Source organism: Homo sapiens, chromosome 7, assembly GCF_000001405.40.
Source record: "Homo sapiens chromosome 7, GRCh38.p14 Primary Assembly".
Taxonomy (NCBI): domain Eukaryota; kingdom Metazoa; phylum Chordata; class Mammalia; order Primates; family Hominidae; genus Homo; species Homo sapiens.
The window spans coordinates 120,264,691-120,277,491 of NC_000007.14; the positions used below are offsets into that span (position 1 = coordinate 120,264,691).

General features: G+C 40.2%; 1 protein-coding gene across 2 annotated transcripts in view, besides 3 other annotated features; it reads left to right on the top strand.

Moving 5' to 3' along the window:
• Positions 7,572–7,671: a silencer, noted in NCBI's record as "silent region_18570". NCBI's record gives its function as "represses an Ori minimal core promoter by ATAC-STARR-seq in GM12878 lymphoblastoid cells {active_cell/tissue: GM12878}" and the evidence as "EXISTENCE:reporter gene assay evidence [ECO:0000049][PMID:35858748]".
• The window catches only part of KCND2 (potassium voltage-gated channel subfamily D member 2), a 477,430-nt gene continuing 472,846 nt past the window's right edge, over positions 8,218–12,801 (top strand). The window contains exons 1-2 of one of the 2 annotated variants that reach the window (XM_047420346.1): positions 8,218–8,376; positions 8,556–11,057. In XM_047420346.1, coding sequence (XP_047276302.1) covers positions 9,943–11,057 — 1,115 coding nt within the window. In that variant the 5' untranslated portion in view covers positions 8,218–8,376; positions 8,556–9,942. Of the gene's footprint in view, positions 8,377–8,484; positions 11,058–12,801 lie in introns of those variants that run through there. The other variant, NM_012281.3, reaches the window with a different exon arrangement.
• Positions 8,591–8,740: a silencer, noted in NCBI's record as "silent region_18571". NCBI's record gives its function as "represses an Ori minimal core promoter by ATAC-STARR-seq in GM12878 lymphoblastoid cells {active_cell/tissue: GM12878}" and the evidence as "EXISTENCE:reporter gene assay evidence [ECO:0000049][PMID:35858748]".
• Positions 9,181–9,250: an enhancer, noted in NCBI's record as "active region_26550". NCBI's record gives its function as "activates an Ori minimal core promoter by ATAC-STARR-seq in GM12878 lymphoblastoid cells {active_cell/tissue: GM12878}" and the evidence as "EXISTENCE:reporter gene assay evidence [ECO:0000049][PMID:35858748]".

The following is a 12,801-nucleotide window of genomic DNA, read 5'->3' on the forward strand; positions in this document are numbered from 1 at the left end:
TTGAGAATTTAGTCCATTTCATTACATAAAATATATTTAAGACTTTCTGTATATGAAGAATAAAGTCCCTGTAAATGGGTTATTTTTAATAGGAACTCTTCAAGGTCTAAAACTTGAAAAAGGGAAGATCTTTTGAAGAGGACTTTGCAAAAGACTTTGACGGTATTAATACATGGGATAAAAGAAGTTGAGCTCAGGTTGCCAACTTGTCTTTTTAATAATAGTCTAAAGAAAGACACAGGGTCACTGCCCTTTCCTTGAAGACCATATCCTAGGGATACTGTGAAGTTTTTGAAAACTCAAATATGTTTTAAGTATTTAACTAGCCTTAGCTATGCTGTGACTTTTATATGTACCCCTTATCTTGCTAGTATATCAGATTTTGTTTCCCCAGGGAACAAAGGTTAAAAACAAACAAACAAACAGACAGCTGTGTATATTTTCCAATGAATAAAGAGTACAAAAAAATTACCATAGGATAAAGCTCCTCTGCCAAACTCAAAATAATATGGAACCCAGAAAGTAAATTAAAAATATACTATATATTTTTTCTACATAGTCATAGTTTTTATGAAATGTTTACAATTCATGAGCAAATATTTTGGTATTTTTCCTTGGTAGTTTTTTCTTTGGTAGTTCACAATATAAACAAATATAGTGTTTTATGAAAAAATTAATACATAAAAATTTGAAGCTGCTAGACTTCAGTCAAAAGTTAATGTACATAACTCAATGACTGGCTAAAGGTTTTGCTCATTTTACATGTTGATTGAATTTCTTTTTTAATTCAGAACTACTATCTTTTAAAATTAAGATGATAGAATGTTAAAAATAATCTAATAGAGACTCAAAAAAAGAGTTATCTGGAAAGAGATTCTAAGGATGTAGTCAGATATACTAAATTTATCTTATTTAAAATAGATTATCTAGAAATTTAAATCCATCCTTCTGGGAAGTTGGTATAACTGGTTAAAATATGGGATGAGTAGATGTGGTGCTCTCCTTCCCTATGAGCACAGGCTTATTTCCTGCCCTGTCAAAGACCTCAGAGAGATACCTGGGGGACAAGTAAGAGAGTTTACACCTATCTGTGCAAATTTATCACCAGTATTGGGAAAAACAAATTGGCATGCAGACTTTACTACTGCAGACGTCTGTTGATGTATTTATGGAGCTAAAATAATATATACTTTAGGGTCAGAAGTCCTGGCAGTGAGTCAGCTTCAGCCACTTAGTTGTATAATATAATCCTGGAAAACGATTTAACCTCCTTGAGCTTTTGTTTCCCTTTGGGAAAAATAATCATTGGAATAATCCACATCTCACAAAGCCTTTTTGAGAATTAACTAGAGTAAATACATTGAGAAAGTACTTTTTACAGAGTCGTACAAATGAGGCTCACTGCTAAGGTAAATTTTTTTATCCACTGAACATCTTGGTAGTAAATTAGGTTGATTCTTTATGAACATTTTTTTAGAGAGTTAGATTAATAATCTCTAATGGAAAAAAAGGTATATATTAATTATCTAATTAGAGTATTTCTTCACTCATTCAACAAACCTTCACTGTATTTCTACCATGTGCCAAGCATGATAACAAATACTTAGGATCTAGAGTTAAAAGGCCATTGCCTTCTCTCAAGGAAGTTACAGTGCAGTGGCTAAGAAACAGAATGACACAGAGCTGTTACAGACTCTGACAAAGCAGATAAGTTGGACATCATTTTGAAGAGGTTAGTCCATGGTTCCTGGAGGATGTGAATCTTGAGCTGAGTAGCTGATAACTGGGGGAAAGGATGCATGTACCAAGACCCAGGATCAAGGTAAAACACATTAAATTCTGCAAACTAAAAACAGCTGAGCCAGACTGTGAAGTAGGTTAATGTTAAAATATCATGGGATGAGGTTTACAGAGTAGAGGAAGTAGAGATCCTGAACAGTCTATATTCTCTTGTAAGGATTAATTTAGGAAAAAAAGGAAGGCTATTGAAAGGGGTGAGATATGATTATGAGTTCATTAAAACATAACACTCTAAATAAACGGTATACACATTGCAAAGAAAGAAAACTGACCCTATTTGCAGGTTGACATGATTGTGTACATAGAAAACTCATGCATTAATAAGGAAGTACAACAAAATTGCAGGATACAAGATCAATACACAAAAACAAATTGCATTTCTATATGCTAACAATGAACATATGGAAATTGAAATTTTAAAAAACACAATACTATTTATAATTGCTCCAAAGGTAATAAAATATTTAGGCATAAGCCTAATAAAAACATATATAGCATCTTGAAAGTTACAAAATGCTGATAATTAAAAAAAAAAAAACAAATAAATGAAGAAACATACCATGTTCCCAGATTAAAAGACTCAAAAGAAAGATTATCAAGGTCAATTTCCAAATTTTAATATAGTATCTACTAAAACTCCAGGAAAGTTTTTTTGTTTATACAAAAATTAACTCAAAATAGATCATAAACTTAATTTTAAAATGTAAAACTATAAAATATTTAGAAAAAAGCAGAGAAAATCTTCGAGTCTTGGGACTAGGAAGAGTTCTTAGACTTCACACCAATAGCATGATTCACAAAATAAAAAATTTCTAAATTGGAGCATATCAAGATGAAAAAAAATTTTGTTTTGCAAAAGTCCCTGTAAAAAGGATGAAAAGACAGGTTACAGACTAGGAGAAAGTATTTGCAAACAACGTATGCGACACAGGACAATTATGTAGAATATATAAGGAGCTCTCAAAAGTCAACAGTGTAAAACAAAACAATCAAAATAAAATGCGCCAAAGGGTAACACATTTTACTGAAGAGTATATGCAGATGGCAAATACGAGCATAAAAATATGTTCAACAAAATTAGCCATTAGAGGAATGCAAATTAAAACCACAATGAAATATCACTATTGTCAAAGAAAAACCTGTCAAAGCTGGAAGGACACTAGTTAAAGTGGAGATCAATTTGTACAGAGGTCACCAGGCATTTTAAAGGAAGAATGAAGGAATGCAGGGCTGGCGAGCAGAGACTCAGTAAAGTCAGGGAAGTGGAAAAATTACAAAAATTGGAAAGGGGGGTTGCTCCATGTTAAACCCATCTGAGTTTGTTACTGGTGCTTACAGAAAGCAGGCTTCTACCCTCCCACAGAGGCTGAACCATAAAACAGGCCCTCAGCAAGCACTGAATTTACTGGCTCCTTTACCTTGGATTCTCCACCCTGCAGAACCGTAAGAAATAAATTTCTGCTGTTTATAAGACACCGAGTTTATGGTATTTTTTATAGTAGTTTGACTGGACTAACAGAGTATCAATGTCAATTTCCAGTATGTGATTCTATACTATAATATGCAAGATGTTACCTTTGGGGAAAACTAGGTGATATACATAAGGAATCTCTATTATTTCTCACAACTGCATGTGAATTTATAATTATCTCAAAATAGGTTTTTTGTTTGTTTTAATTCACTCTAGGTGCAGTGTAAGGATAGATAGATGGTAATGAGGGTGGAATATATAAGACCTATTGGGTCATTGGCTATGTCTGGGTGTTTGCTGGGGGGCAAGTAGTAAAGAACAGGATGACCACCAGGTTTCTTTGTGGGACTTCACTGATCAAAAGAGAAAAGAGGGAGTAGATGATTGGAAGAGAGAGATGATGCATTCAAGGTTGATCCTGCTGAGTTTGTTTTCCTTGTAATCAACCAAACAGAGTATATAAAATGAGAAGAGTAAAGAATAAGAATCCCTAAGCAAGGGAGATATATACCGTGCTCTTCGAGAATTTGTATGCCTACTTTTCACATAGCATTTCAATGCATGAATGAAGACTAAAATATCACTATCATCTGAATATCAGAACAAGGGGATTTTTGAATTCGGAGGGAAGAGTAAATACAGACAGACATATAGCAAATAACGACATTTCAGTCAATGATGGATCACATATACACAGTGGTTCCATAAGATTATAATGGACTATTGTGAATGGAATTGCATTCTTGATTTGACTCTCAGCTTGGATGTTAGTGATGTGTAGAAATGCTACTAACTTTTGTACATTGATTTTGTATCCTGAAACTTTGCTGAAGTTGTTCACAGAGACAGGAGCATTTGGGCAGACTATGGGGTTTTCTAGGTATGAAATCATATAGTTTTCAAAGAGAAGTAGTTTAATTTCCTCTCTTTCTATTTAGATCCCTTTTATTTCTTTCTCTTGCTTGATTGCCATGATCACTGTGGAAAGCAGTCTGGAGATTCTCAAAGAATTTCAAATAGAACTACCATTCAACCCAGCAATCTCATTACTGGATACATATCCAAAGGAATAGAAATTGTTCTGCCCTAGAGACACTCGCACATGTACGTTCATCACAGCACTATTCATAATATCAAAGACATGACACCAACCTAGATGCCCATCAACAGTGGACTAGATAAAGTAAATGTAGCACATACATAGTATGGAATATTGTGCAGCCAATAAAAAAAACAAATCATGTCCTTTGCAGCCACATGGATGGAGCTGGAGACCACTATCCTAAGTGAATTAACATAGAAACAGAAAAACAAATATCACATGTTCTCCCTGCTAAGTGGGAGCTAAACATTGAGCACATATGAACACGAAGAAGGAAACAGTGGACACCGGGGCTTACTTGAGGGTGGAGGGTAGAAGGAGGGGACTATTGAGTATTATGCTGATTACCTGCATGACAAAATTATCTGCACACCAAACCCCTAAAGCACGCAATTTACCCATGTAACAAAACTGCACATGGACCCCTTGAACCTAAAATAAAAGTTGGAAAGGAAAAAAACAAAAAGATTATAAGGGAGTTGAAAAATTCCTACTGCCTAGGGATGCGCAGCCATTGTAATGTCCTTGCCTAATGCGTTACTCAGGTGTCTGTGAGGATGCTGCTGTGCTGCCAGTCTTGCACAAGTACAGCACATACAATTATGTACAATATATAATACTTGATCATGATAATAAACGATGTTACTGGTTTATATATTTAGTATACTATACTTTTAATCATTATTTTTTAGTGTACTCCTTCTACTTATAAAAGAAAGCTAACTGTAAAACAGCCTGAAGCAGGCTCTTTCAAGAGGTATTCCAGAAGAAGGCATTGGTATGCCTTGGTATTCCATGCATGTTACTGTCCCTGAAGACAGAATGAAGAACGTTCAGTAGGAAAAGATGTGGATATGGAAAACAGTAATACTGATAATCCTGCCCCTGTGTAGGTCTGTGCCAGTGTAATTGTGTCCTAGCTTTTAACAAAACATTCAAAAAGTTTTTAAAAAGTGCAAAAATACCCAGCACTTTGGGAGGCCGAGGAGGGTGGATCACAAGGTCTAGATCAAGACCATCCTTGCTAGCACGATGAAACCCCGTCTCTACTAAAAATACAAAAAATTAGCCAGGCGTGGTGGCAGGTGCTTGTAGTCCCAGCTACTCGGGAGGCTGTGGCAGGAGAAGGGCGTGAAACCGGGAGGCAGAGCTTGCAGTGAGCTGAGATCGCACCACTGCAGTCCAGCCTGGGCGACACTCTGTCTCAAAACAAAACAAAACAAAAAAAGTACAAAAATAGAAGAAAACTTACAGAATAAGGATATAAAGAAAATATTTTTTTGTACAGCTGTATAATGTGTTGTGTTTCAAGCTAAGTGTTATTACAAAAGAGTCAAAAAGTTAAAAATTGAAGTTTTTAAAGTAAAAAAAGATAGTAAGCTAAGGTTAATTTATTATTGAAGGAAAAATAAGATTTTAAAAATAAATTTAGCATAGCCTAAATATACAGTGTTTATAAAGTCTACAGAAGTGTACAGTAATGTGCTATGCCTTCACATTCATTCACCACTTACTCACTGATCACCCAGAGAAACTTCCAGTTCTGTAAGCTCCATTCATAGGAAGTGCCAAATAAAGGTGTACCGTTCTTAAAAATATTTTATACTGTATTTTTACTGCAACTTTTCTGTGTATATATATGTTTAGAGGTTCAAATACTTGCCACTGTGTTACAAATTGCTTACAGTGTTCAGTACAGTAACATGATGGCAGGTTTGTAGTCTAGGAGCAATAGGCTGTACCATATAGCATAGGTGTGTAGTAGGCTATACCACCTAAGTTTGTGTAAGTACGCTCTATGATATTCAGACAGTGATGAAATCTCCTAAAGACACATTTCTCAGAATGTATCCCTGTCATTAAGCAATACATAACTATGGAAAGTATCTAAGGGAATTCCAAATACGGGCTGGATAAAATGAATTGCATTAGCATTATGCATTACAATAAAAAAGAACCAATATTGAGTACACTTCATGTGCTAAGTATTTCACTGGTGTTCAGAAGTATGATCCTGTTTCATCTTCACGACAGGCCTGAAAAGTTAAATTTCATTATCTATAATTTCTAATCATAGAAGTAATTTGCCAAATGAAACAAAGCCAGTAAGTAATTTCTTAAGCAAGATTTTGAATTTAGATGTGTTTAAGTTCTCAGCCCACATTCTTTCCACTATATCAAGAAGCTTGTTGAAGATGCAGGAGGGCAGATCCCAGTACCTTCTTAAAAACTGTACATATTATGTTCTTGCTTCTTTGGGGCTTTTGTGAGTTAAGCTCCTACTTTTACATTTGTAAGCATTCAGTTTCCCACACAGTTTTAAAGGCTCTATTTAGGTTCCTCGCCCCATCTTTACAGGAAAGCATGCCATTATTGGCATTGATTAAATATTCATGGCGCTCCACCCTCTGGATTCCATGCCCAGCACCTGTCATAGTGCCACCTTACTGTTTGGACTAACGAGGGGTTGGTTTTCTTATATTAATTGGTAGTAAGCCCCTCATTTCCATTTTCCAGGTAACATGCTTGTGTGTTTGTTTTCAGGTATGCAGGCTATATAGATTGGTTAACAAGCATCTTTCACTTAAACAAATAGATAAAGAGCAGGTGTCTTCAGTTCCTTGTCCTCAAACTTAAATGGTGCATTAGCTCTGACTTCATTACTACTGACACAGGATTCCTTAAATCTCTATTCTGTAAACAAATAAACAAACAAAAAATACCCTTTTATCTCTACAGAAAATCCTGTACATGATAAGGATATTTTAAATTCTCTGGTTATTTTCTATACTCATTTTTTAGTTTATATATTTTCTTTGACGTATCCCATTTCAAATTTTCAAGGTTGACACATCATGCCTGTAATCTCTAGGGCTTAAAAGTCAATTTCCGTAAAGTACAACACACAGTCCACTTATTTTACAAACCAAGGGCAGTCAAACCAAGCCATGAAAAGTAATTTTTAGGTAGAAATTAGGCTACTATTCTTCATCAATACAGATGAAGCCTCATTATTGCCAAAGATCTTAATTACTATGATGATGATGATTCAGTAATCTAGATTTAATTTTCAAAGGAATTTCAAAAGGAAACTCTCCACATCTCATCCCACAACTATCCAAATGCAGACTCAAGCCTAAGTAGTATATGTCACATAAACACAAAAAAGGTGGGTGGCAGCGAAGGGGTTTGGGGATGTTTATGTGATCTGACTCTCTGTTGGACCAGTTAATTTTGATCCTTCACCTTCCTAAAGCATCCAAACCTTAGGTGCAGATTTAACTTCTCGCCATCCACGCCATCTAGTGGCTTGTATGTGTTACGTTTGGTTTTAAGGATGATTCCTAATGACTCGGGGGCGGGGTACGCGAAAAACAAAAAGGTTGGTAGCGACAATTTTCCTGTGTCTCTCTACCTCAGTAACCCCTCATACGAACACCTTTAACTCTTTTAACTATTTTAAATATGCGCAGTGATGCGCAGAGAGGATGAAGGGGACGCAAACTTTCAGAGACGCACGCCCCTTGACGATGACATTTAGAAAAGGGCTCCACATCCCTGTTATTCGTAAAGGACGGGAAAAGGAGTTGTGTCAAGACCTCGATCGAGGAGAGTCTCTGATTTTTTGGCAAGTTGGACAGATGGCATATCAATCCCTGCAACGTTAACAATCTGGTTTTGAAAATAAATAAAAACAGAAAGAGGAAATGCACTTAAAAATTCCGCGTCGGAGCTTTGCGGGTCTTGCCTTCCAGTCGCCCCCAGAAGACAACCAATTCCTGCGCATTCCGCTCCGCTCACCCTCCTTCCCAGCTTCTCTCGCTCTCTTTCCCCCCATTTTCCCACGCTCGCCTTGAACCGGGACTCGAGAGGCAGAAGCAAGGCACGGGTCCCCTTTCTCCTCTCCTCCACCAAACCACCGCAGCCCAGCACGTGAAGCTTCCCTTTGTTCATCCGAGGCTCGCTTTTCTCCCCAGCAGATCCACCTGGATGCTCTCCCTCGGTGACATTTTGCGCCGGGGTTGGTGGGTGGCTGGGGTGGAGCGAGAGGAGCCCGAGGGGGCGGGGGCGGAGAAAGGTCAAGCCGAGGGAAAGGCAGGAGACGCCTTTCCTAACCTGCGTGGCGGGGCGTGCGCGCGGTTATTTATTTATTTTCTCCTTATTTATTGATCGCACTAGCAGAGCAGCGCGGGGAGCCCGGGGAGATGCAGGACCACCCACTGGCGGGGAAGCAGCTAGCAGCCCTCCCGCGCCCCCGCGCTGCCGAGCGCCTTCTGCCTCCGCGCTCGGACGAGAGCCCGTGCCGGCCCCGGCCCCGGCCCCACCGCGCCAACGCCGCCCGCCCGGCCGCCCCGCAGCCCCGCCGCCCCGCAGCCCCGCACCGCGCTGGCCAGGCTCCCGCGACAGTGGCCCCGCAGTAAGTTGGCAGGAGCGAGTCCCCTCCGTTCTCGCCTCCCCCGCACCTTTTGAACTTGTTGCTGCTGCTCTGCTCGCCTGCGCCTGGCTTTTGGAAGGTGAAAAGGAGGAGGGAGGCACGGAGGGATGGGGGAAGGGAAAGAAGAGCTCGCTTGAGCTTTATTTATGCTCTCTCGGCGCATCGGATTCGGCTGCTCGCGAGCTGCTTTCTCTCCTCTTCCCTTTCCGGGTGCACGGCGAGGAGAAAGTCTCTATGCAACTAAGCCCCGGCGCGCACTTGGCCAGGTATGTACCGCGGGAGCGGCGCGTTCTGCGCGGAAGCAGATGCTGCTGCCGCCACGGCGGCGGCGGCTGCCAGCTCCTGAGCTCTGTAACTGTCACACTGCACCTGAGCTGAACTTGAAAAGAGAGTGAAGGGGCGATTGGGCGAACGCTTTTGGCAGACACAGAGGGTGTTTGTAGACGTGGGGGAGGAGAATCTCTATTAACGCCCCCCACCGTAACCACTGCACATCACCTCCATCTCTGCAAATACAGCCCGAGGAGTAGAGGCAGCAGCAGCTGGACCCCCAAAGAGAGACGTGGGGCAGCGGCTGTGACCGCATCTCCTGAGCTACAACAACAGGTCGCCTTTTTGAGACTCCTTTGGCGGGAAGGGCTACTTGGAAAGGAAGGTTTGAAAGAGTGAGAAGGGTAGGTGTAAGGGTTCCCTAATTCGTCGAAAGAATTCTATTGGGTGACTCTCGTTCGTCTTCTCTATCCTACACTCCACATACTGACCCTATATTATCCAGACTGTGCCGGGGAGAAATCAAAAACACCTGTTTGAAGAAACGGCTGCACCTGTGTGCTTATTTGTGCCAGAGGGTGGCCTAGCCCACCTGCAGGAAGAGATTTGGCTGGGTTCTGTTGAGGGTGATTGTTAGGACGTTGTATTTTGTTGCCATTATTCCAAATACCTGTCTTGGAGGGAAAGTTGCCCTTCTGAGAACTGTGACTTTACCAGGAGCCCTATCTTGGAATAAGAGTTACACCTCTGGACCACGTTTCTCACTAGTACTTTGCTTGACTGGAGGAAGTGGGTGACTTTTGGCTGCTTCGGTGACCCATTGTAGACGCCTCGTTACCCTTCTTCCTTCCGCTTCAAGTAATCATGGCGGCGGGGGTGGCAGCGTGGCTGCCTTTTGCAAGGGCAGCGGCTATCGGGTGGATGCCTGTGGCCTCGGGGCCTATGCCGGCTCCCCCGAGGCAGGAGAGGAAAAGGACCCAAGATGCTCTCATTGTGCTGAATGTGAGTGGCACCCGCTTCCAGACGTGGCAGGACACCCTGGAACGTTACCCAGACACTCTACTGGGCAGTTCTGAGAGGGACTTTTTCTACCACCCAGAAACTCAGCAGTATTTCTTTGACCGTGACCCAGACATCTTCCGCCACATCCTGAATTTCTACCGCACTGGGAAGCTCCACTATCCTCGCCACGAGTGCATCTCTGCTTACGATGAAGAACTGGCCTTCTTTGGCCTCATCCCGGAAATCATCGGCGACTGCTGTTATGAGGAGTACAAGGATCGCAGGCGAGAGAACGCCGAGCGCCTGCAGGACGACGCGGATACCGACACCGCTGGGGAGAGCGCCTTGCCCACCATGACTGCAAGGCAGAGGGTCTGGAGGGCCTTCGAGAACCCCCACACCAGCACGATGGCCCTGGTGTTCTACTATGTCACGGGGTTTTTCATTGCCGTCTCTGTCATCGCGAATGTGGTGGAAACAGTGCCGTGCGGATCAAGCCCAGGTCACATTAAAGAACTGCCCTGTGGAGAGCGGTATGCTGTGGCCTTCTTCTGCTTGGACACGGCCTGCGTCATGATCTTCACAGTTGAGTATTTGCTTCGCCTGGCTGCAGCGCCTAGTCGTTACCGTTTTGTGCGTAGTGTCATGAGTATCATCGACGTGGTGGCCATCCTGCCTTATTACATTGGGCTGGTGATGACAGACAATGAGGACGTCAGCGGAGCCTTTGTCACACTCCGAGTCTTCCGGGTCTTCAGGATCTTTAAGTTTTCCCGCCACTCTCAAGGCCTGCGCATCCTGGGGTACACACTGAAGAGTTGTGCCTCAGAATTGGGCTTCTTGCTTTTCTCGCTCACCATGGCTATCATCATCTTCGCTACAGTTATGTTCTACGCAGAGAAGGGGTCTTCGGCTAGCAAGTTCACCAGCATCCCTGCAGCCTTCTGGTATACCATCGTCACCATGACAACACTAGGGTAGGTGCCATAATGGGAAATGGGATGGAGGTTGGGTATGGGTGAGGCGATTGTGGACCCATCGAGGTTACATGGTAACTCCGGGGAAATCATTTGTTTTCTTTCCTGAGTTTAGGAAAGCATTATCTAAATGGTTTGGCAAAACTCTTTTCATCTGTGAAATGGGTATAATACACACGTTGAAGTATTAAGGCATTGCTGGCAAATGTTGATGCCTGAAAGTGATAAAGATACAAAGAAATTTTAGAATTCCTGAATATATGAAAGTAGTAGCAATATTTATATTAATATATAAAAATATGACAATGAAAAACAAAATCTATGCCCTAATAAAGACACAAATATATACAATGTATATTGAAATGTCTATAAAGTGGTTCAATGCATTTAAATGAAAAGTTTCCAGGTATACTTGAACTATTATTTTCATATGAATAGATACTTATGGTGTACATTTTTCCTCTAAGAACCATAATTCCTATTTTACATCGTAATACATAGATTGTAGATGTAATTATCAAAGTATTTTATAATATATATGCACATATTCATATGTATGCACTTTAATTATGGTTGATAGGTTATTCAGTCTTTTAGAATATCAGAGCTGAAACTGATCAACTCTACAATATGCAGTGGAATTAAATTTGCAACATATTTCAAGCTCTAGGTTCATAGTTTCAAAAAAAGAAGCAAAAGACTGTCATCCACACATTTTTTTTTAGAATCTACAGATCCCATCAGGCAATGGGTCCACACCCATTAAATACACATAGAAGATAGAGCAGTATCTGGTAAGATTGATGGTCACCAAGGCTGGCTGTATTATAAAATTTGGGGTCCTAATTTCCTTTTAGAATTTTTTTGTGAATTCTTTTTTGGGGGTATAATGAAGTTCTGCAACCAAAGGGACAAATTTCTGAATTCATGCTGTTGTTTTTAATATACTTTTAGGGCTAGAATTAAGTTTTTTTAGGTAGTAGAGAAAAGGAAAGGAGGCAAATGATTAATAATGTTAAACTGCAGAAAAGTAGCAGCATTTTACATATTAGAGAATCTAATAAAATAAAATGGTTAGATCTTTTTACTTTTATGAGTTCTTAGATAAGCTGGGGAGTGATGTGAGTGCCTTTTCTTCAGCTTTGTGCTACTATTCTTGCATAGGTAATCAGTTTAGTGAGGATTTGGTAATGGCTATAAGAAAAAAGTTATTCCCAAGGCTACTCTTTAAGCTTTGTGTTTTTGGATAATTTAATTGGCTTCTTTAAATGACATTGTGGTTAAAGTCAACTTAATTTTATTAGACATATTGTGTTGTACAGAATTTCTCATGTCATGTGGCCAGCTAATGGAATAGTTTATATATGAAGAATTTTAGGCTAGGTTAAACAAGAAATTGGGGTAAAGAAAAATACAATGATTTATGATTTTTATTTAGTCTCATTTTTTTAAAGACCTACTGGTACATTTAAAAAATGAATTAGTGAAAATCCATGTTCTACTTCTTATATTTCCTTTTTATCTTGTTGGCAAATTTGTGACAGTTTATAAGGATAAGGATGATGCAGAATGCCTTCGCAGTGTAGGTGCTGATTCTTTATCAAAGAGGTTTGTTTTTGTTGTCTTGTCATTTTGTAGCAGGAGATCCTTATTAAGGACAAATGGGTAGTGCAAATCACCATCATGACGTCAAATTAGAAGTACACTTGAATAAAAAAGATTCTGTTTTAATAGGAAGGGAGAA